At 37.5% G+C, this 24658-nt stretch overlaps 1 long non-coding RNA gene across 1 annotated transcript in view, besides 1 other annotated feature; it reads left to right on the top strand.

Annotated features, from left to right (window-relative positions):
• The window catches only part of STEAP2-AS1 (STEAP2 antisense RNA 1), a 329283-nt gene extending 305691 nt beyond the window's left edge, over positions 1-23592 (top strand). The window contains exon 3 of the long non-coding RNA NR_110029.2: positions 23390-23592. This is a non-coding gene — a long non-coding RNA (STEAP2 antisense RNA 1). The remainder of the gene's footprint in view (positions 1-23389) is intronic.
• Positions 17750-18949: an enhancer, noted in NCBI's record as "MED14-independent group 3 enhancer chr7:89516310-89517509 (GRCh37/hg19 assembly coordinates)". NCBI's record gives its function as "activates an origin of replication core promoter dependent on BRD2, BRD4, P300/CBP and CDK7 cofactors, and independent of MED14, by STARR-seq in HCT116 cells {active_cell/tissue: HCT116}" and the evidence as "EXISTENCE:reporter gene assay evidence [ECO:0000049][PMID:35650434]".
• Positions 23593-24658: the final 1066 nt, after the last annotated feature.

Here is a 24658-nt window from a genome sequence, read left to right as displayed (position 1 = left end):
GAAATGATAAATGTTTGAGGTGATGGATATCTCAATTATCCCCACTTAATCATTGCACCTCGTATGCTTGTATCAAAGTACCTCATAAATGCATATAACTATTATGTATCCATAATAATTAAAAAGAAAAAAAGTAAAAGTTCACAATTTCAAAGCAAAACCATTGTAATTTTCATTAATTAATGTTACTGCCTCTGACTTTGGAAATTTCAGACAATATATGTTGATTCTGTCAGTGACAGTCAGAAGCAAATCTGAGCTTCTGTTTATTGTAGTTATGTGATTATAATAAAAATTAAAGAATGTAAGTCGATGTTTATATAGACTTTCAAAAGAGCAAAATATGCATAAGAATTTGCAAAATATGCTGCATTATTTTTCTGTTGGTAGCAAAATTATTCTTCATCATGATAAAATTTTGGTCCAACACAGTCCTTAATTATTTTTATGAATCATCAAGTATTCTATTTTTAAAGCATTTTCATGTTACTTTAGTGAGCCATTTTGGGTATAACACTTGGGATACTAGCTAAAAAGAATGTGTAATTCCCATCAATATGAGATTTCTCAATCCTTTGACTTAAAGCGAGTTTCTTATTGTCCTAAAATCTGGTACAGATATGTTTAATAAGTTAAAAAGTCAGGTCCTTGATGCATTCCATGCACTAATGCAGATAGATTCTGCCTCTGTTACCAGTCTACCATATTCCATTTGATTCACTCTGCTATGAAGATTTCTTTCAAGCATTATGAAGAGAAGTGTATTGTGGCAAAGACTTTAATGATAAACTCCTTCTCTTTCCATGTATTTTCTGGAGTTATACACATGTATTCTTTATTTTCTGCATATCTTTTGACTTTATGAAATTTTTAATAAGCAAGACAAAAACATGATTATAATTTTGTTAAAAATTGAGAAAATGTAATTTGGGTAATTTTATAGTTGACCGTTTTTTTTTTTTCATAGCTCCCGTTGAAGTGTTTAAATTTATTTAGTAACGCTTGTAATGTCATCATGTACACATTTAAAACAATTCATTTTATGTCCATGGGTAGGGAGCAATGTAGTTTTAAAGACATTAGTCATTTCACTTCATGTCATGAATAATACATTTATGTTCTTTGTTGCACTTTATCTGATAATATATGTGTGCAGCATGTTTCCTCTTTTGCTTGCATATTGTGGCACTTATGATGTATTATGTATAGGCAATTAGTTCTGTTTATTTTTTTAGAGCCTGTAATCAAACCATTCTGCAGTGAAGTGGAAAAGTGAGTCATGCTTAGGAAGATTGGGGTCTTTATTAAAGATAAAACCTGGTCCTAACTGTGTTAGGATGAAGGTATAACTAAAAATAGTAATTAAATATCATATATCTAAATATTTAAAAGTTATAAATCAAGGTAAGAAAATGATTACAAAATATGAGCTATCCTCATATTTTGATACAAAATGTGAATATGCATTTGGAATGAACTGGAAGACCATGTCAGAATTGAAGATTCTTAGAAAACTTAGATCTTCACAGGTATACCGAGATGTAGGCCTATGGCTTCTTAGTTCTTTTGCCAAGATCAGTTTTGCATTACAAGATGCTTGGTGCCTTTTGTACATATGTGTGTACACTTTGGTCCTCATAGGCAAGCTTCATCCATAGCTTCCCACTTAGTAATTCCAGAGTTCCAAGCTCCCAGAGCCTTGGCCTTGCAGTTCCCTTACCCATGTGGAGGGGCAGACCTGAAGAAGGGCAAGAGCAAACTGCTAAAGCGTGCCCTCAGGCCTCATGTTTACATGGCACTGCTGAAAGTACAACACAGAAATTTAGTCATTTGCTTTACTTAATGGTTGCATTGCTTTAAAGGTTGCATGCGTCTATGTAGATTTTGTAGTCCAAACAGAAAATAAACATTCTGTCCATATATTTACCAGTGGATATTTTAGAGGTAACATGGGTCACCAAGGAAAATATGACTTGTGCTAAGATATGTTACAAATCACATAATTTAAGGAAACTTTTATCATGGCAACAAATATACATCTGTGTATTTGTGCGATGTAGTTATTACTATAATGTTAATCACAAATTCAATATGATTTCCTGTTGTCTGTAAGTCACTTGACATTTGTAGTTTTCACAGAATGCAAGTATTTTTTAAATATGTATGAGCATATAAACATCTTCACTTATAAAGGTTTTTTCTAGTGGTTTAGATATTAATCTGCTATAAAGATACCCTTTGATATGAAATACAAAACTCAATTGTATAGAAGAGAATAGGTAACCAGTAGAATTAAATGACTGCATTAAATTAGATGTTTGATTCATTTATCTTCAAATCTAAACAGATAATAAAGTAACTGAAGATAATTTTCAACTGTCAGCAATTCTGAAATAGGAAGAACAGTGAACTCCTCCTGGGATTACACCATAGGGAGAAACCACATTCTTCCTTTTTAACTTTGCTGGAATATTCTATCATCACTGTCCTCTAATCAGAGAGAAATATTTGCTCAGATCAGTTGTAGATTATTATATTCCACACCAGACTGACTAGTATGTTACAAGTACACAGGCAAGGACTAAGTTTTCCTTCACTCACTGTGTTTCATCAAACCACATTTCATACCCTTATTTGAAAGCATATTCCTTGTTCTGTAACAAGCATGCGTTAGACAAATGGCAATGACAAATCAACTTTCTAACAGGCCAGCCAAACACTATCTACACTGTTGTGCTTTGTAAGCGGACAAAAGGGCGGGTTACTCAAGAAAAGGCAGGTTGTAGTTTCACCTGAAAAAATATGTAGGGAAATGTATGAAGTGAGATCTTGAAGCGACTTTGTGAACATGAGTTTGGGTCAGATATTAGCTCATTTTGCCTGTAGCAGTTTTGTTGTTCATGAGTGCTTACTGACTAGAAGTGATTGTAGCATCTGTTCCAGGCATGCCAAAATCAGTTTCTAAAGGGATTCTATTTGCTGCTATGGTCTTTCCTGGTTTTTCAAAAGCGCTTGTCCAGTGGTGATGAGCATTTTTTCATGTGTCTTTTGGCTGCATAAATGTCTTCTTTTGAGAAGTGTCTATTCATATCCTTCGCCCACTTTTTGATGGGGTTGTTTGTTTTTTTCTTGTAAATTTGTTTGAGTTCATTGTAGATTCTGGATATTAGCCTTTTGTCAGATGCAAATCAAAACCACAATGAGATACCATCTCACACGAGTTAGAATGGCGATCATTAAAAAGTCAGGAAACAACAGGTGCTGGAGAGGATGTGGAGAAATAGGGACAATTTTACACTGTTGGTGGGACTGTAAACTAGTTCAACCATTGTGGAAGTCAGTGTGGTGATTCCTCAGTGATCTAGAACTAGAAATACCATTTGACCGAGCCATCCCATTACTGGGTATATACCCAAAGGATTATAAATCATGCTGCTATAAGACACATGCACACGTATGTTTATTGTGTCACTATTCCCAATAGCAAAGACTTGGAACCAAGATAAATGTCCAACAACGATAGACTGGATTAAGAAAATGTGGCAGGGGAAGGAGCCAAGATGGCCGAATAGGAACAGCTCTGGTCTACAGCTCCTAGCGTGAGCGACTCAGAAGATGGGTGATTTCTGCATTTCCATCTGAGCTTTGAAGAGAGCAGTGGTTCTCCCAGCACGCAGCTGGAGATCTGAGAACGGGCAGACTGCCTCCTCAAGTGGGTCCCTGACCCCTGACCCCTGACCCCTGAGCAGCCTAACTGGGAGGCACCCCCCAGCAGGGGCATACTGACACCTCACAAGGCGGGTACTCCGACAGACCTGCAGCTGAGGGTCCTGTCTGTTAGAAGGAAAACTAACAAACAGAAAGGACATCCACACCAAAAACCCATCTGTACATCACCATCATCAAAGACCAAAAGTAGATAAAACCACAAAGATGGGGAAAAAACAGAGCAGAAAAACTGGAAACTCTAAAAAGCAGAGCGCCTCTCCTCCTCCAAAGGAACACAGTTCCTCACTAGCAACGGAACAAAGCTGGACGGAGAACGACTTTGACAAGCTGAGAGAAGAAGGCTTCAGACGATCAAATTACTCCGAGCTACGGGAGGACATTCAAACCAAAAGCAAAGAAGTTGAAAACTTTGAAAAAATTTAGAAGAATGTATAACTAGAATAACCAATACAGAGAAGCGCTTAAAGGAGCTGATGGAGCTGAAAACCAAGGCTCGAGAACTATGTGAAGAATGCAGAAGCCTTAGGAGCTGATGCGATCAACTAGAACAAAGGGTATCAGCTATGGAGGATGAAATGAATGAAATGAAGTGAGAAGGGAAGTTTGGAGAAAAAAGAATAAAAAGAAATGAACAAAGCCTCCAAGAAATATGGGACTATGTGAAAAGACCAAATCTACGTCTGATTGGTGTACCTGAAAGTGATGGGGAGAATGGAACCAAGTTGGAAAACACTCTGCAGGATATATCCAGGAGAACTTCCCCAATCTAGCAAGGTAGGCCAACATTCAGATTCAGGAAATACAGAGAACACCACAAAGATACTCCTCGAGAAGAGCAACTCCAAGACACATAATTGTCAGATTCACCAAAGTTGAAATGAAGGAAAAAATGTTAAGGGCAGCCAGAGAGAAAGGTCGGGTTACCCTCAAAGGGAAGCCCATCAGACTAACAGCTGATCTCTCGGCAGAAACTCTACAAGCCAGAAGAGAGTGGGGGCCAAAATTCAACATTCTTAAAGAAAAGAATTTTCAACCCAGAATTTCATATCCAGCCAAACTAAGCTTCATAAGTGAAGGAGAAATAAAATCCTTTACAGACAAGCAAATGCTGAGAGATTTTGTCACCACCAGGCCTGCCCTAAAAGAGCTCCTGAAGGAAGTGCAAAACATGGAAAGGAACAACCGGTACCAGCCACTGCAAAATCATGCCAAAATGTAAAGACCATCCAGACTAGGAAGAAACTGCATCAACTAACGAGCAAAATAACCAGCTAACATCATAATGATAGGATCAAATTCACACATAACAATATTAACTTTAAATGTAAACGGACTAAATGCTCCAATTAGAAGACACAGACTGGCAAATTGGATAAAGAGTCAAGACCCATCAGTGTGCTGTATTCAGGAAACCCATCTCACGTGCAGAGACACACATAGGCTCAAAATAAAAAGATGGAGGAAGATCTACCAAGCAAATGGAGAACAAAAAAAGGCAGGGGTTGCAATCCTAGTCTCTGATAAAACAGACTTTAAACCAACAAAGATCAAAAGAGACAAAGAAGGCCATTACATAATGGTAAAGGGATCAATTCAACAAGAAGAGCTAACTATCCTAAATATATATGCACCCAATACAGGAGCACCCAGATTCATAAGGCAAGTCCTAAGTGACCTACAAAGAGACTTAGACTCCCACACATTAATAATGGGAGACTTTAACATCCCACTGTCAACATTAGACAGATCAACGAGACAGAAAGTCAACAAGGATACCCAGGAATTGAACTCAGCTCTGTACCAAGCGGACCTAATAGACATCTACAGAACTCTCTACCCCAAATCAACAGAATATACATTTTTTTCAGCACCACACCACACCTATTCCAAAATTGACCACATAGTTGGAAGTAAAGCTCTCCTCAGCAAATGTAAAAGAACAGAAATTATAACAAACTATCTCTCAGACCACAGTGCAATCAAACTAGAACTCAGGATTAAGAATCTCACTCAAAACCGCTCAACTACATGGAAACTGAACAACCTGCTCCTGAATGACTACTGGGTACATAACGAAATGAAGGCAGAAATAAAGATGTTCTTTGAAACCAATGAGAACAAAGACACAACATACCAGAACCTGTGGGACGCATTCAAAGCAGTGTGTAGAGGGAAATTTATAGCACTAAATGCCCACAAGAGAAAGCAGGAAAGATGTAAAATTGACAGCCTAACATCACAATTAAAAAAACTAGAAAAGCAAGAGCAAACACATTCAAAAGCTAGCAGAAGGCAAGAAACAACTAAAATCAGAGCAGAACTGAAGGAAATAGAGACACAAAAAACCCTTCAAAAAATCAATGAATCCAGGAGCTGGTTTTTTGAAAGGATCAACAAAATTGATAGACCGCTAGCAAGACCAATAACGAAGAAAAGAGGGAAGAATCAAATAGACACAATAAAAAATGATAAAGGGGATATCACCACTGATCCCACAGAAATACAAACTACCATCAGAGAATACTACAAACACCTCTATGCAAACAAACTAGAAAATCTAGAAGAAATGGATACATTCCTCGACACATACACTCTCCCAAGACTAAACCAGGAAGAAGTTGAATCTCTGAATAGACCAATAACAGGCTCTGAAATTGTGGCAATAATCAATAGCTTACCAACCAAAAAGAGTCCAGGACCAGATGGATTCACAGCCGAATTCTACCAGAGGTACAAGGAGGAACTGGTACCATTCCTTCTGAAACTATTCCAATCAACAGAAAAAGAGGGAATCCTCCCTAACTCATTTTATGAGGCCAGCATCATCCTGATACCAAAGCCGGGCAGAGACACAACCAAAAAAGAGAATTTTAGACCAATATCCTTGATGAACATTGATGCAAAAATCCTCAATAAAATACTGGCAAACCGAATCCAGCAGCACATCAAAAAGCTTATCCACTATGATCAAGTGGGCTTCATCCCTGGGATGCAAGGCTGGTTCAAAATATGCAAATCAATAAATGTAATCCAGCATATAAACAGAACCAAAGACAAAAACCACATGATTATCTCAATAGATGCAGAAAAGGCCTTTGACAAAATTCAACAACCCTTCATGCTAAAAACTCTCAATAAATTAGGTATTGATGGGACGTATTTCAAAATAATAAGAGCTATCTATGACAAACCCACAGCCAATATCATACTGAATGGGCAAAAACTGGAAGCATTCCCTCTGAAAACGGGCACAAGACAGGGATGCCCTCTCTCACCACTCCTATTCAACATAGTGTTGGAAGTTCTGACCAGGACAATTAGGCAGGAGAAGGAAATAAAGTGTATTCAATTAGGAAAAGAGGAAGTCAAATTGTCCCTGTTTGCAGACGACATGATTGTATACCTAGAAAACCCCATTGTCTCAGCCCAAAATCTCCTTAAGCTGATAAGCAAATTCAGCAGTCTCAGGATACAAAATCAATGTACGAAAATCACAACCATTCTTATACACCAACAACAGAGAAACAGAGAGCCAAATCATGAGTGAACTCCCATTCACAATTGCTTCAAAGAGAATAAAATACCTAGCTTACAAGGGATGTGAAGGACCTCTTCCAGGAGAACTACAAAACACTGCTCAGGAAAATAAAAGAGGATACAAACAAATGGAAAAACATTCCATGCTCATGTGTAGGAAGAATCAATATCATGAAAATGGCCCTACTGCCCAAGGTAATTTATAGATTCAATGCCATCCCCATCAAGCTACCAATGCCTTTCTTCACAGAATTGGAAAAAACTACTTTAAAGTTCATATGGAACCAAAAAAGAACCCACATCACCAAGTCAATCCTAGGCCAAAAGAACAAAGCTGGAGGCATCACACTACCTGACTTCAAACTACAGTACAAGGCTACAGTAACCAAAACAGCATGGTACTGGTACCAAAACAGAGATATAGATCAATGGAACAGAACAGAGCCCTCAGAAATAACACCGCATATCTACAACTATCTGATCTTTGACAAACCTGAGAAAAAGAAGCAATGGGGAAAGGATTCCCTATTTAATAAATGGTGCTGGGAAAACTGGCTAGCCATATGTAGAAAGCTGAAACTGGATCCCTTCCTTACACCTTATACAAAAATCAATTCAAGATGTATTAAAGAATTAAACGTTAGACCTAAAACCATAAAAACCCTAGAAGAAAACCTAGGCATTACCATTCAGGACATAGGCATGGGCAAGGACTTCATGTCTAAAACACCAAAAGCAATGGCAACAAAAGCCAAAATTGACAAATGGGATCTAATTAAACTAAAGAGCTTCTGCACAGCAAAAGAAACTGCCATCAGAGTGAACAGGCAACCTACAAAATGGGAGAAAATTTTTGCAACCTACTCATCTGACAAAGGGCTAATATCCAGAATCTACGATGAACTCAAACAAATTTACAAGAAAAAAACAACCCCATCAAAAAGTGGGCAAAGTACATGAACAGACACTTCTCAAAAGAAGACATTTATGCAGCCAAAAAACACATGAAAAAATGCTCACCATCACTGGCCATCAGAGAAACGCAAATCAAAACCACAATGAGATATCATCTCACACCAGTTAGAATGGCAATCATTAAATGTCAGGAAACAACAGGTGCTGGAGAGGATGTGGAGAAATAGGAGCACTTTTACATTGTTGGTGGGACTGTAAACTAGTTCAACCATTGTGGAAGTCAGTGTGGCGATTCCTCAGGGATCTAGAACTAGAAATACCATTTGACCCAGCCATCCCATTACTGGGTATATACCCAAAGGACTATAAATCATGCTGCTATAAAGACACATGCACATGTATGTTTATTGTGGCATTATTCACAATAGCAAATACTTGGAACCAACCCAAGTGTCCAAGAATGATAGACTGGATTAAGAAAATGTGGCATATATACACCATGGAATACTATGCAGCCATAAAAAATGATGAGTTCATGTCCTTTGTAGGGACATGGATGAAATTGGAAATCATCATTCTCAGTAAACTATTGCAAGAACAAAAAACCAAACAACACATATTCTCACTTATAGGTGGGAATTGAACAATGAGAACACATGGACACAGGAAGGGGAACATCACACTCTGGGGACTGTTGTGGGGTGGGGGGAGGGGGGAGGGATAGCACTGGGAGATATATCTAATGCTAGATGACGAGTTAGTGGGTGCAGCGCACCAGTATGGCACATGTATACATATGTAACTAACCTGCACATTGTGCACATGTACCCTAAAACTTAAAGTATAATAATAATGATAATAATAATAATAATAATAATAAAAGTAAACCTAAAAAAAAAGAAAATGTGGCACATATACACCATGGAATACTATGCAGCTATAAAAAAGGATGAGTTCATGTCCTTTGTAGGGACATGGATGAAGCTGGAAACCATCATTCTCTGCAAACTATCACAAGGACATAAAACCAAACACCGCATGTTCTCACTCATAGGTGGGAATAGAACAATGAGAACACATGGACACAGGAAGGGGAACATCACACAGCGGGGCCTATTGTGGGGTGGGGGCAGGGGGGATGGGGGAGGGATAACATTAGGAGATATACCTAATGTTAAATGACGAGTTACTGGGTGCAGCACACTGACATGGCACATATATACATATGTAACTAACCTGCACATTGTGCACATGTACCCTAAAACTTAAAGTATAATAAAAGAAAAAAATAAAAAGCACTATTATAATTTGTGATAGTATTACAGGGATCGCTTTAGAGCAGGAACTTGGTCTCAATAACGTCCTAGCTTCATCTCTTTGGTCATAGGCCTGAATGAGAGAATTTCTTACTAATGAAACTTGCTAATTAGTGCCTCAGCCCACTTATGTGCTGCAAGAGAGAAATTTTTGCATTTGGAAGTTAAAATCCCTGCTGACTAGAAATCCTCAGAAAGAAAACTCAGTTGCGATCCACTGGGTTTGGCAGTGCAGTGACATTTATGTGCACACGTTTCTATCATTGAAAGTAAAATAAATTACATGAATTAATTTCAATTACTTTATCAAACAGATTTGAAGGATTTAATGACATTTAAATAATTACACCTGAGCTATAGAAAGGAACATGTGTCTGAAATGAGATTCAGTCCTAAGAGAGTAGCAGAATTTTTTCTCTGAAGGGTTTCTGTACTGAGAATGAAGATAAGCGTTCAGTATTTTTAAATCTTGTTAAGTGCCATTAAATTTCAGAAATAGGTGCAAAATTACGAATTATAGATTTTTGCATAGGGCCTACCATAAATTGAGTATTAGTAGATCAAGTGACAGTCTCTCCGATTGCAAGCCCTTATTATAGAGTTTTTCTTCTTTTATCTAAATGATTCAAGAAACTATATGCATGTGGAAGCTATGCATGAGATTTTTGATATATGAGGCTAGAATTGGACAAGTTTTACTGGCAGTAATGGTGGTGGAGTGCAAGTATCAGAGTCAGCCCTGAGGAGTTTGGGAGCCTTTTTGATCTCCTTTCATTCTGTTGAATCCATGTTAAAATGGACATTAATTGTGTATTGTATTTTGAAGTAGATAAAGTTGGTATGAGGGGTTGTTTGAAAAAAAATGGTAATAATGGTAATGTGGAATCATATGTAATTTCATACCTTTATGAGAATGAGCAGAGAGATTCTGCATTATTTCTCCTAACTCTAGTAGCTGAGAACCAGGTCCTGCCCATAGTATGGGCCCCAGACCCCAATCTACTGTACACATCTGAAAGTCTGCTTGGTTGACTTCTTTCACTCATTTCCATTAATGATTATTTCCTTATATATACATATTTTTTATTATACTTTAAGTTTTAGGGTACATGGGCACAACGTGCAGGTTAGTTACATATGTATACATGTGCCATATTGGTGTGCTGCACCCATTAACTCGTCATTTATATTTTTTAATCTAAATTTCAGTTTTAAGAATATCCTCCAAAGGAGGCTCCAGTAGACATTGAGGCCTTAACTTCAAACAAATGAATTTAAAATAGCAGAAGCAAAAATAAAGTAATGATACACAAAGAAGTAGCATTTAAATAAATACCCAGTTAGAGTACCTAATAAAATATGAGGAAAGGGAGTTGTGACGATGAGTTCAGAAGACTCGGAGAGTCATTCATGAGAGAGAGGCTGTGTGGAGTGGTAAAGGGAACATGGGCTTTAAACCCAAGATTGGTCAGATTCCAATTTCACCCTTTGACTAATTTTTATGTGAATTAAGACAATTGCTTGCTTTGGAACTTAATTTGGACCCCCAAATAGAGTGAGAACAACATCATCTATCTTTAAGAATTTTTGTGATATTTGTGAATAATATATACAAAACTACTGTTAATAACACACAATATCTTTTATATGAGCACTTAATAAGTTGTATCTATTATATAAAAATACTAAGTGAGTGTAAGAGATTGTATAGATGAAAATTGCAGATGAAAATTGCAGAAGCGGCACAACTCAATAAAGAAATGAGCACTTACAGTTAAAAATTCCAGATAGCTATCGTACTTGGGAAATGAGGGTAAATGTAGAAATGATAAGATTTGTTAGAGGGAAATTGAAGAGAAGGTGGTGAGAATGTAGGCTCGAAACCCATACTACTTGTGTTTAAATCCCAGTTTTTTCATTTAAGAGCTGTGTTTCATCAGACAAACTAGTTATGTACTCTGTATTTCAGCTTACTCAGCTGTGAAATGGGGATAATGACTGTCATGCCTCCCTCATAGGGTTGTTCTAAGAACTGAATTTGGTGATACTTGTAAATCTAGGACCTAGCACATAGCAAGCCATAAGTCAACAGATTTCTTTATGATTTTGTTGTCCTGACCACTATTTGATTCATTTCCTTTTTGTACTTTCAGACATAGTAAAGAGGAAGGTTACCTTAAAACTATTTTAAAAAACCACATAATTGATTGATTTCTAGTTTGGATGTAAAAAGTCACAAAAGACCGTTAGTCTTAAATTAATAACCCAAACAAACCAGATAAGGTATAAAAATGATATTTTAAAAAACATCATAAAGCTGAGCACATAAAGAAACCCAAATGAACAAGACATCAGAGAGTGAGAAACTCTTTATAGGATAGAAGAGATTTATCACTGTTCTCCTTTCTAGAAGAATTAATCACAGACAGGATAGGCAGAAACCAGCTGACCTGCTAATGCATGTTTAATAACCGTGTGTGGGCTCTTGTAATAGATTGGAATTACAAGGGCCCCAGCCATAGAGCAAATTGCCATCCCACCACCAGTTGGAAAATAGCAGTTAAAAATATGTAATAGCATCAAAAAACCTTGGAGAAGAAAGAGTAAATCTAATAAAAGATATGTAACACCTCTACACTGAAAATTATAAAATATTTGGGAGAGAAATTAAAGATCTAAATAAATGGAGAAGTATAGCATGTTCCTCGATAGGAAAATGCAACATTGTTAAAATGTCTAGGCTTCCTAAACTGATAGATAGACTCAATGCAATCTCTATCAAAATGTCAACAGGCTATTCTGAAGAAATAGACAAGATAGTTCTAAATTATATATGGTAATGAAAAGAAAATAGAATTGCAAAACCTATATTGAAAAAGAACAAAATTGGAGGACTTAAGACTACCTGACTTCAAAATTTACTATAAACGTATAGTAATCAGGGAACTGTGGTATTGGCATAAGCATAGGCAAATAAATTAATAGAACACAAACAAACCACAAATACTCAGTAAAGTGATTTTCAACTTCAAATATGTAGTCAAGTGATTTTCAAAGAAGTGCCAAAGCAATTCTTTGGCCAAAGTCTTTTCAACAAATGTTGCTGGAACAACTAGATATCTATATGGAAGAAAATGTAATTTCACTCTTATTCCATATACAAAAATTAATTCAAAATGGATCCCAGACCTAAACATAAAATGACACTTATAAAGCTTCTAGAAGAAAAAAGAAACATATCTTCATGACCTCAGGTTAGGCAAAGATGTATTTGATAGAACACAAAAAGCATCAACCATAAGAGACAATAAGTTAATTACTAAAATTAGGCTAAATTTAAAATTCTGCTCATCAAAAGACTCCATTAAAAATTAATAAGTAAATCTCAAAATGATAAATAAAATTCAAAGAATTTCTGACAACAGACTTGTATACAGAATAGATAAAAATTTCCTACCAATCAACTACAAAAAGACAACCCAATTGAAATATGTGCAATAGACTTAAACACTTCACAAAAGAAAATCTATGAATGAACAATAAATACATTTAAAAAGTCTTTAACATTACTAGATATAAGGCTCTGCAAACTAAAGCAACAATGAGATGCTATACTAAACATCCACAGGAGTGGCTGAAATTTAAAAAAAAAACTGAAAACATCTTATTTTGGTGAGAATGTGGAGTGAAGAACCTCTCATATGTTGCTGGTGGAGTGTAAAGTGATAAAAATGCTTAGGAAAACTGGCAGTCCCTATGACCTAGCAATACTACTCATAGGTATTAACGTGACATGTAAAAAGATATAGCAACCAGATTTATAATAACAAAAACTAGAACAAACCCAGATATCAAACAATGGGAGACTTGATAGATAGATTGTAGTATATTCATACAATTGACCACTATTTAGCAGTTAAAACTATTGATATACAGAACAACATGGAGGATAACCAACAGCGTTATATTAAGTGATAGAAAGGATAACCAACAACATTATATTAAGTGATAAAAAGCATATACTGTAGGATTTCATTTGTATGAAATCTGAATACAGGGAAAAGTAATCTATGCTGATAGAAATCTCATAGTTAATGTGGGGATGGGGACAGAAATCGACTGGAACAGAGCACAAGGGATTTTTTTAAATGTATTTTTTCAGTGTTGGTTACATAGCTGTATATAATTATTAAAGCTCATCATACTGAACAGTTGAAGTTTGTGCATACTGTTTTTGTTTTTTTTTTTTGGGATAGAGTCTTGCTCTGTTGCCCAGACTGGAGTGCAATGGCGTGATCTCGGCTCACTGCAACCTCTGCCTCCCAGGTTCTAGTGATTCTCCTGCCTCAGCCTCTGGAGTAGCTGGGATTACAGGCACATGCCCCGTGCCTAGCTAATTATTATTAGTTTTTGGATTTTTAGTAGAGATGGGGTTTCACCGTGTTGGCCAGGCTGGTCTCGAACTCCTGACCTGAAGTGATCCACCCACCTCGGCCTACCAAAGGGCTGGGATTATAGGCATGAGCCACTGTGCCTGGCTGTGCATACTACTGAGTGTTAATTATATCTCAAAATAAATAAATAAAAAACAAGTGAAAACAAGCAGAGAAAAAGGTATCCGATCGTTGGTTAAAAAAGTCACAGAACAGCCAAAAACAGTTTGATCTCCAAATGGTGAAAAGAGAAGTCAAAGAATAACACATAAAGAATGCAAAAATAATCATTTGCTCCATTTGCTCGTCGGTAGAATGGAATCATTCCCCCAGTACAAAATCCTTTTGTCCTGAAATATGTCACACTGTCAGTGCTCAGCCATCCTGAACTGTGTCTCTGATCCCCAGGGTGTTCTAATCTTTAGCGCAGCCGATTTCATATGTTTAAATTGACTAACTTTTCTGCTTTGTTGTAAATACAACAAACTCTGCAACAACCCAACATTTTATGCATCTTAGATTTTGATCAGAAAGCAATTCCATGCAATACAACCTATCAGGTTTTTATTGCTTGACCCCCTATTTTGCCAAATATGTGATAAGGATATATGTGGAGATATTTCAGAGGCAGAAAGTGTACACTGGACTTCAGTGAGGTTAGATGAAGGGTATTTGAAGCTCTGCATAAGGAATAGCTTGATGGAAGCAAACTCTACTTAATGGAACATGATAAATTTTCTAAGGCTGTAAATATTCTATAATGACTTGATAAATAATTCTATGTATTCCTGTATTTTAGAAATGCAGTTTCCTGCTGCATTTTAAAGAGCTGTAAGTCTGCTACCTTCAAAATATGTGCATCCTTAGTTGTCAACCTGTTTTAAGGACATACCATGTTCAAATACTTTGGAATTATTTTTATTACTATGTTGATATAATTATGCTGAGTGCCGAAGTCAGGAGTGACAGCTATTGAGGCACCACAATAAGTTTTTTTATGCTACTGTCACTCCAGTTTAACCTTTTGCCTGAGGAAAAGATATTCTTTCTTTCCTAGATTAGCTGAAAAGCATCTAAATACATAATTTGTGGTGCTGCACTCATTTTATTCAGATCACCTTGGAATTCAAGTTACATATAACTTTTAGCAAGTTTTCTTCTGCTAGAACTGTTGGGAAAAAAGTACAGAGTTGTGATGGCATTGTTGAATTGAGCTCTTGTGTTGATTTAAGATGCCTCCATTAGATATTTTGGAGCTGCCTCCATTCTCAGGGCGAATTCTTGAACTGAGAGAGTGTTCTGCCTTGGGACCATGGCACTGGTCCATAAAGCAGAACAGATGCTACTTTTTTCTTTTAGGTTTTTTTTTTTTTATTGTGGTTTGTTTACTACACTGAAAAAAATGGCTCTCTTTTTCCTTATTTGAGTGTATGATGCTTAGCCTATTTGGGTGGATGGGGGGATATTAGCATAAGTGACTTTTTTTCTAATTTATCCAGCTGATGCTAAGTGGCTTTCTATAACACCTAGATAGAAAAAACAAACAGTATATTATACACACACACACACACACACACACACATATGTACATAAAAATATACAGATGCATATAAACATATACATGTATATCCTTTTGCCCACATGATCTGTCCAGCTATTATAGAAGAATATAGCTGGTTAATTGACCACATAAGGATTATTCTTTAGCCATAATTGTCCCTTTCACAGAGCATTTTGCAAGACAAATGAGCAGGATAAATCAAAGTGGACATGTGCATAACTTTGACCAAAGAATTTTACCTCTAAATATCTATCCTATAGAAATATTTGCACGTTCTTAAAGATATATGACATTAAAACATTTTTGTGATATAAAAAATTTGAAAGTAAATTAGATGTTCATCAACAAATTATGGCGCATTATTTCTATCAATATTGTGCAGTTACAAAAATAATAGTATAGATGTCCATGTAGACAGATATCTTCAAGAGGTATTGGTAAAGAGAAAATGCAATTCACTGACCATAATCTCATTTATAATAAACAAAAAAACCCACAAACAACTGTCCTTTATGTATGCCCAAAAGTTTCGGAAAGAAATTTTAAACTGTTATTTGTCTAAGGAAGAGAGAGGGATTAAGAAAGGAATATTGAAGGAGAATAATTTTTTTCTCCATACTTTTATGTTGAATTTTAAGATTGTATTTATGTGTACTTGTTTCTTTAAACAGAAGAAAAAAATTGGTTTTTCCAAGACTTCTTTCTAAATAATTGTTATCTATTTAAGAAGTAGTAAATTCCAAAATTAGAACAAAATTCACAATAATGAAAATGCTATGATAATGTAGAAGATATTGATAGATTGAAAAGATTGCTATTTAAATGTGTAGCTTCACAATTCATATGAAAATATCTTAAAACAAATTTTTCATTTTTTTGTAAATAGTTAAAAAGGGAAATATGATTATTTCCTTGTTAGAGTATGAGATAGCTCTACTGCATGTATTTTATAAGTGATTGTTTATGTAGCCATCTGTAGTGAGTTCAATGGTGACTCCCCAAAACATATATCCAAGTCCTAATCCCCAGAACTTGTGGATGTGATATTATTTACAAATAAAATATTTGCAGATGGGACTAAAGTTCTTGAGATGAGACCAAGATCTAATGACAAGTGTCCTGGTAAGAGACAGCAGACAAAGATATAGATAAGGCCATATGAAGATGTAAACAAGTATTGAAGTGATGCAACCACCAACCCACTAAGGCCTGGAGCCACCAGAAACTGGAGGAGGAAAGGAATGATTCTCCCCTAGAGTCTTTGTGGCCCTGCTGACACATGGAATTTGGACTTTTGGCCTCCAGAGCTGTGAAAGAATAAAAAAATCTATCGTTTTAAGCCATCAGGTTTATGGTATTTTGTTACAGCAACCACAATATGCCATCCGTCTCCTAAATAAATATTTGATAGGTTTAACATGCAGAAGACATCTGAGAATTTTAAAACCAAGATCATTTCAAATTTCCTGTTAAATTTTGAGAAAAAGAGAAAACCCACTAAGTAATTGCAATATCGACTAAGAGAAATGAACATCATCCCATGTGTTTTCCCAGAACCACTGATTGCTGGAAGATTTCTTAGAGATCATCTGGTCCAGTGGTCATACACAGAAGAGCCCATAGGTATCAAAAAAGAGTCATGAATGTTGTCATTTGGCTGAGCGTAGGACTGAAGTTAGTGGTGAATGGTAGTAAAGTAGTATCTGGTCTACCAAACGGCATTGCAAATAAATCAGTTAGAAACTCCAGGAAGCCAAAAGAAATATATCTTTATTTGGCTACCCATTAAAACTCAGGGGCTTCTATAAGAAGAGGAGGGATGGAGCAAGATGGCAGAATAGAAGCCTACACCATTCATATTCCCTGCAGAAACACCAAATTTTAACAACTGGATACAGAAAAGAACCATCACAGGTACCAAAACTCAGGTGAGCAATCATAGTACTTGGTTTTAACTTTGTATCATTGAAAGAGGCATAGAGAAGGGTTGGAGAGACAGTCTTGAATCAGCGACATCACCCCTTCCCAATTTCCTGGCAATGGCTCTGTAGTGCAGAGAGCCTGTGCATTTAGGGTAGGGAGAGCACAGTGACTGGGAGGCATACACTGAACTCATTGCTACTCTGTCATAGCAGAGAGAAAAGCCAGCCTGGACTCAGCTAGTGCCAGCACATGGAGAAAGCATTTGGACCAGACCTAGCAAAAGGGGAATCACTCATCCCATCGGTCAGAACTTCAGCTTCTTGGAAAGCTTTGGCACCATAGGCCAAAGTACTCTGGAGTCTTAGGTAAACTTGAAAGGCAGTCCAGAAGGACCGCAATTCCTAGGCAAATCCTAGTGCTGGGCTGGGCTCAGAGCCAGAGGACTAGGGGGCACATGACCTAGGGAGACACCAGCTGGAGTGGCTGAAGAAGTGCTTGAGCCAATTCGACTCCAACCCTAGGCAGAGCAGCTTGTGACAACAAAAGTGTCCTATTTCTTCTAATTAAGGTGAGGAGAGCAAAGAGTAAAGAGGAGTTGTCTTGCATCTTGGTTACCAGCTTAGCCACAGTAGGATATGGCACCAGTCAGGGTTATGATGTCCCCTTTTCAAGCCCTGTCTCCCATATGACATTTCTAGACACATGTTGAGTCAAAGGGAACCCATTGCCTTGAAGGAAGGACCCAGTCCTGGCAGGATACATCACCTAATGACTAAAGAGTCCTTGGTGCCTGAATAACCAGCAGAGATAACCAAGTAGTATGCTGTGGTCCTTGGACTCTGAAACATGCTGACTGTAGACGTGACTCAGCACATTCCCAGCTGTGGTGGCTACAGTGAAAGACCTTTCTGTTTGAGAAAAGCAGAGAGAAAAGTAAATGGGACTTTGTCTTTCACCTAAGGTACCAGCTCCACAACAGTGGGGTAGAGCCGTAAGCAAAAGTGTGGGGTTCCCGATTCCAGAACTAGGCTCTTGAACAGCCTTTCTGGATCTGCCCTGGGGCCAGAGCAGAGCCCATGGCCCTGAAGGCTGAGTTTCAGGACTGGCAGCATTCACCACAAGATGAATGAGGAGCCCTTGGGCATTAAGTGAACATCAGTGGTGACCTGGCAGAACCCCATGATAGGCCAGTGGTGGTGGCAGTGCTCACAGGGAGGCTCCTCGCCTATGGAAAGGAGAGGGAAGAATGGGGAGAAATATATATTGTGGTTTGAATGCCAGCTTAGCCACAGAAGAATAGAACATAAGGCAAATTTTTAAGATTCTTGACTCCAATCCCTGGCTCCCAAGCAGCATCTCTGGACCCGCCTGGGGGAACTCAACATCCTGAAGGGAAGGACACAAACTGCACTGGCTTCACTTGCTGATTGTAGAGCCCTAGGGCCTTGAGTGAACAAAGGTGGTAGCCAGGTGGTTGTTACAGCGGGCCTTAGGCAAGACCTAGTGGCCGTGCTAACACTAGCATGGTGCTTTCATGACCACACCCCTAGTTCCAGACAGCTCAGCACAGAGAGAAACTCTGTTTGGGAGAAAGTAAGGGAAAAGAACAAGAGTCTCTGCCTGGTTACCCAGAGAATTCTTGCAGATCTTATCCAAGACAACCAAGGTGGTATCTCTTTCAGTCTGCCAAAGCCACAGTGATATTGGACTTGGGGCCCAAGTCCCTTCAAATACCTGGAAATCCTCAAGAAGGATGGGCACAAACATCACTGATCATTAGCGAAATGCAAATCAAAACCACAATGAAATACCATCTAACACCAGTCTAATGGCTATTATTAAAAGTCAAAAAACAGATGCTGGTGAGACTGTAGAGAAAAAGAAATGCTTATACATTGTTGGTGGGAGTGTAAGTTAGTTCAACCATTATGGAAAACAGTGTGGTGATTCCTCAAAGACCTCAAGATAGAAATAACATTCGACTCAGCAATCCCATTACTGGGTATATGCCCAAAAGAATATAAATTGTTCTGTTAAGAAGACACATGCATGTGTATGTTCACTGCAGTACTATTTACAATAGCAAAGGCATGAAACCAACCTAAATGCCCATCAATGATAGACTGGATAAAGAAAAGGTGGTATATATACACCATGGACTACTCTGTAGCCATAAGAAAGAACGAAATCACCTTATTTGTATGGACATGGATGGAGCTGGAGGCCATTATCCTTAGCAAATTAATGCAGGAACAGAAAACCAAATACCTCCTGTTCTCACTTATAAGTGGGAGCTAAATGCTGAGACACATAGAGGGGAACAACACACACTAGGACCTATCGGTGGGTGGAGGGTGGGAGGAGGGAGAGGACCAGAAAAATAACTAATGGGTACTAGGCTTAATATCTGGGTGATAAAATAATCTATACAGCCAACCCCCATGGCACACGTTTACTTATGTAACAAACCTGCATATGTACCCCTGAACTTAAAAGATTTTTAAAACTGGGCAAGAGCTCTGAATAGACATTTATCAGAAGAACACATGCTAATGACAAACAGGCATATGATAAGGTGTTCCATATTATTAATCATCAGAGAAATGCAAATCAAGACTACAATGAGATCTCATCTCATCCCAGTAAAAATGGCTTTTATCCAAAAGACAGGCAATAGCAAATGCTAGTAAGGGTGTGGAGAAAAGGGAACCCTTTTACACTGTTGGTGGGAATGTAAATTAGTATAATCACTATGGAGAACAGTTTGGAGCGTCCTCAAAACACTAAAAATAGAGCTACCATGTGATCCTGCAATCTCACTCCCAGGTATATACCCAAAAGAGAGGAAATCAGTATGTAGAAGAGATATCTGCACTCCCATGTTTGCTATAGCACTGTTTACAATTGCCAAGATTTGGAAGCAACCTAAGTGACCATCAACAGATGAAAGGATAAAGAAAATGTGGTCCTTATGCATGATGGAGTGCTATTTAACCATAAAAAATGAGATGCTGCCAATTACAACAACATGGATGGGACTGGAGGCCATTATGTTAAGTGAAATAAGTCAGGCTCAGGCACAGAATGACAAACATCACCTGTTTTCACTTATTTGTGAGATGCAACAATCAAAACAATTGAACATATGGAGATAGAGAGTAGAAGGATGTTTACCAGAGACTTGAAAAAGTAGTGGGGACACTGAGGGTAGATGGGGATGTTTAATGAGCATAAAAAATATTTAGAAAAATGAATACCTAGTATTTGATAGCACAACACTGTGACTATAATGAAAATAATTTAGTTGTATATTTAAAAATAGCTAAACAATTACAATTGGATGTTTTTTGTAACACAAAGGTTAAAAGCTTAAGGAGATGGATACCCCATCTCCATAATGTGATTATTATACATTGGATGCCTGCATCAAAATATCTCATGTACCCCATAAATATATATACCCACCCTGTTCCCACAAAAATTAAAACTAAAAAATCTTTTTAAGTGAAGAAAATGGAATCTGTAAGAAAATTTGCTGTTCCTGCCATAATATCTAAGTAGCAGCTCAACCTGGAAAATAGTCCCAGTTTCCTCCTTCCTACTCTAGTGTGGTTCTGTCTCCCAATATCTCTTTATCTCTGCTAATCAGAATGGAAAGAGACTAAGATGTATTGGCCAGCATGAGTCAGACACCATGCCAGGTTCCTTCAGATACATAATCTCATTTAATTTTCCCAACAGCTCTGTGAGGTTGGTAAGTTTCCTCCAGATTCAGTAACTTGCCTAAGGTCACTCAGCTAGTAATGAACAGTTCCACTGACTGCAGAGCCTCAAACAGGTTCCAAGACATAATATTGCTTCCAAAGGAGGACACAACAACTGTGAGACTCTGGGGGAAGTACGGATATATTTTCTTTCTATAGAGAGGTCATAGTTGTTAATAGTCACATTAATTTTTTATATGCTTGAATTAGAAAAAAAGATGTTTCTTCAGTGATACAATTATCCTCACTATTTCTTTTCCTGATACTCACATATGTAAGTTCTTCTTTTACTTTTTTGGCTTTATGAAAATTTCCTTTCCCTTAACAAATCCAAGACAACAGCCTTATTGCTTAAATTTTTATAAAATTATTTTCCAGCTGCCAAAATTATCAAATTACTTTTGGAATGTGATCTATTTCCTCTGTACTTGTTAAATGAAGCAATTCTTTTGCGTATCTGTCTTTTTAGTTAAACAGTTGTGCCTTCAGAAATTCTGTCTTTTGGATTTTACACATGCTTTAAGAGCTAACTTTGGCTATGCTAGAAGAAAGTCATTTGTTTTTTCATTGACACATGGGGAAAATGCACTTTTAGATAATATATTTTGAGAAGGAGCCTTTTGCCTGTAGTCATTCTGCCAAATGCCATGGGAATTTTCTAGTTGTTTTCCTCATTTAGTTAACCAATAAATATTTATTCATGGCCTATTATGTGCTCAGCATGGTACTTGTAGACTATTTTAGATGTTTTAAAAGAAATATGAGAAGAAATAAATAAATCCAGCATTTAGAAGCCGACAACTGAGCTGTGGAAATAAAACTAACATATGAAGAATCAGAGATGTGGGTGACTAATAGGGCATCAGGAACCAAAAAATCAAACAGTTTAGTATGAAACAAAGTAGTCAGAGAAGATTTCATTGAGATTGTGGAAACTGAGACTGGAAAATTCATAAAATGGAGGACATAAATAAGAGCATATTTTTCTGTGTGTGTGGTGGAGAATAGAATTAAAGAAAGGAAATGTGGAAATTTGTGTATTTGCAGGACAATGAGTAGATTAACCTCATTAAGGAAAAATAAGGTAAATAAGAGTAAGAAATAAAGAAAATAAGGAATTAAGTATGGTAGCCAAATGGTGTGGTTCCAAAACACATTAAGTGTTTCAGAAACTAGTCTAAGGAGTTTAGATTTGAAATCAGATGATAATGAATCTTTTCATGATTAAAAATAAAAAGATAAAAGGAATTTTTAAAGAAGATGTAGTGGAAAAGCGTATGACAGTTTTATTAAAGAAAAGGCAAGGTCAGCCCTCGAGTCCAGTAAATATATCAGCTAAAATAGTGCTGTGTTGATCTGGTTGTGAGATAGAGAGGGCTTGGACTACAGTAGTGGTAGTTGGAACGAAAGAGATAAGGCAGATTCTTCAAAGAGGTATTGAAGGAAGAATCAGTGGGAATTTCTTAGAGATTAGAGAATGAAGATGCTAGTAGGCAGCTGGCAAGAACATACCATGATTGAGTAGGGAAGGAGATACATATTTACTAATGGCCAGATACTAAATGTCACAGCCAAAGCAGTGAGGATATATGAGACCAAACTATAGGGAGAAAAATGGAGGTGTGAACTTAGAGAACACTCCATAGATAGAAACACAGTGGAGAAGCTAAGTGGCATCAAAGAGATGGAAGAAGCCCATAAAGTGCCAAAGATGCCAAAGAATGAGGAAATGTCACTAGGGGGTTGTTCATAGTAGCAAACACTTTAAAATGTTGAATGACAAGTCTGAGGAAAGGCAAACGTCATACATTTAGCAGAAAGAGATAACTAGTAACCTTTGAGGAAATAGTTTCATGGAGTTGTATGCACTGAAGTAGATGACAAAAAGGATAAGAAGGAATTAGAATCCTTAAAGAGAGGACGTGAAAGATGTAGATCAAATATTTTAGGAGCTTGGCAGCAAAACCAGAGAGGAACATTGTTTAGCAAATATAATAGATAGGTGGGAACAAGAGAAAAATGTTATGATAGCTATCCTCCAATATGGCATCCAATGATCTTAGTCTCCTGGTATTCATGCCCCTCTGTAATTCCCTTTCACATGGAATAGTGCTGACTTGTGTAAGCCATAGTAAATTGAAAAAATAATGCTGTATGATTTCTGATTCTAGATCATAAAAGTGTTATAGGTTCTGTCATGCCCTTTCATAGGTTGCTCATGCTGGGGGAAGCTAGCCATCACGTCATGCCGACACTCAAGTAACTCATAAAGAGGAACTTTTCCAACCAGCACCATGGCAGAGAGCTGTCTTATGTGCAGATTTTCCAGACCAAGTCAAGTCTTCTGATGCCTGCAGAAATGGCTGACATCCTGACTGCAACATCTTAAGTGATCCTATGGCAGAACCACCCAGGTAAGCCACAACTGAGTTCCTTTCCCACAGAAACTGTGAATTAATAAGTGTTTATTGTTTTAAGTCACTAAGATCTTAAGTGATCCTAAGGCAGAACCCCCAGGTAAGCCACAACTGAGTTCCTTACCCACAGAAACTGTGAATTAATAAGTGTTTATTGTTTTAAGTCACTAAGATCTTGGGTAATTTGTTATGTGATGTTAGACAACTAATACAGATTTCTTTAGATGTTTTCTTTTATATATGCTTATCTTTTTTTTTAGTTTATGAAAACCTGAATATGTTTTAAGGATTATTGAAATGATTCAAGATGAGAACAATAATAAGATAATTGTAATACTAAACTCTGAGTAGCTGGAAAACTAGGGGAACCAAAATACAGCTGAGGAGAATTATTTTCTTTTTCTTTTTTTTTTTTTTTTTTTTTTGAGTTGGAGTCTTGCTCTGTCGTCCAGGCTGGAGTGCAGTGGCGCAATCTTGGCTCACTGCAAGCTCCGCCTCCCGGGTTGATGCCATTCTCCTGCCTCAGCCTCCCGAGTAGCTGGGACTACAGGTGCCCGCCACAGCACCTGGCTAATTTTTTGTATTTTTAGTAGAGACGGAGTTTCACCGTGGTCTCGATCTCCTGACCTCGTGATCCGCCCGCCTCAGACTCCCAAAGTGCTGGGATGATAGGCGTGAGCCACTGCGCCCGGCCGAGAATTATTTTCAAAAAGCAGAGGTGGGCTATTTTCTGAGAGTAATGGGAAGTCCCAAATGATGTAGATTCCCATTCCATTTTAAGATGAAGACGAGAGTGCCTGAAATAATTCATATAAGATCAGATCAATTTAGTAAATACTCCACATGTACATAACTCTATATTATTATTATTTTTTGAGACGGAGTCTCACTCTGCTGCCCAGGCTGGAGTGCAGTGGCGCGATCTCGGCTCACTGCAAGCTCCGCCTCCCGGGTTCATGCCATTCTCCTGCCTCAGCCTCCTGAGTAGCTGGGACTACAGGCGCCCGCCACCACGCCCGGCTAATTTTTTGTATTTTTAATAGAGACGGACTTTCACCATGTT

The sequence above is a fragment of the Homo sapiens genome, chromosome 7, assembly GCF_000001405.40.
Source record: "Homo sapiens chromosome 7, GRCh38.p14 Primary Assembly".
Lineage (NCBI taxonomy): Eukaryota > Metazoa > Chordata > Mammalia > Primates > Hominidae > Homo > Homo sapiens.
This window is presented reverse-complemented; position numbering and strand designations above follow the sequence as displayed.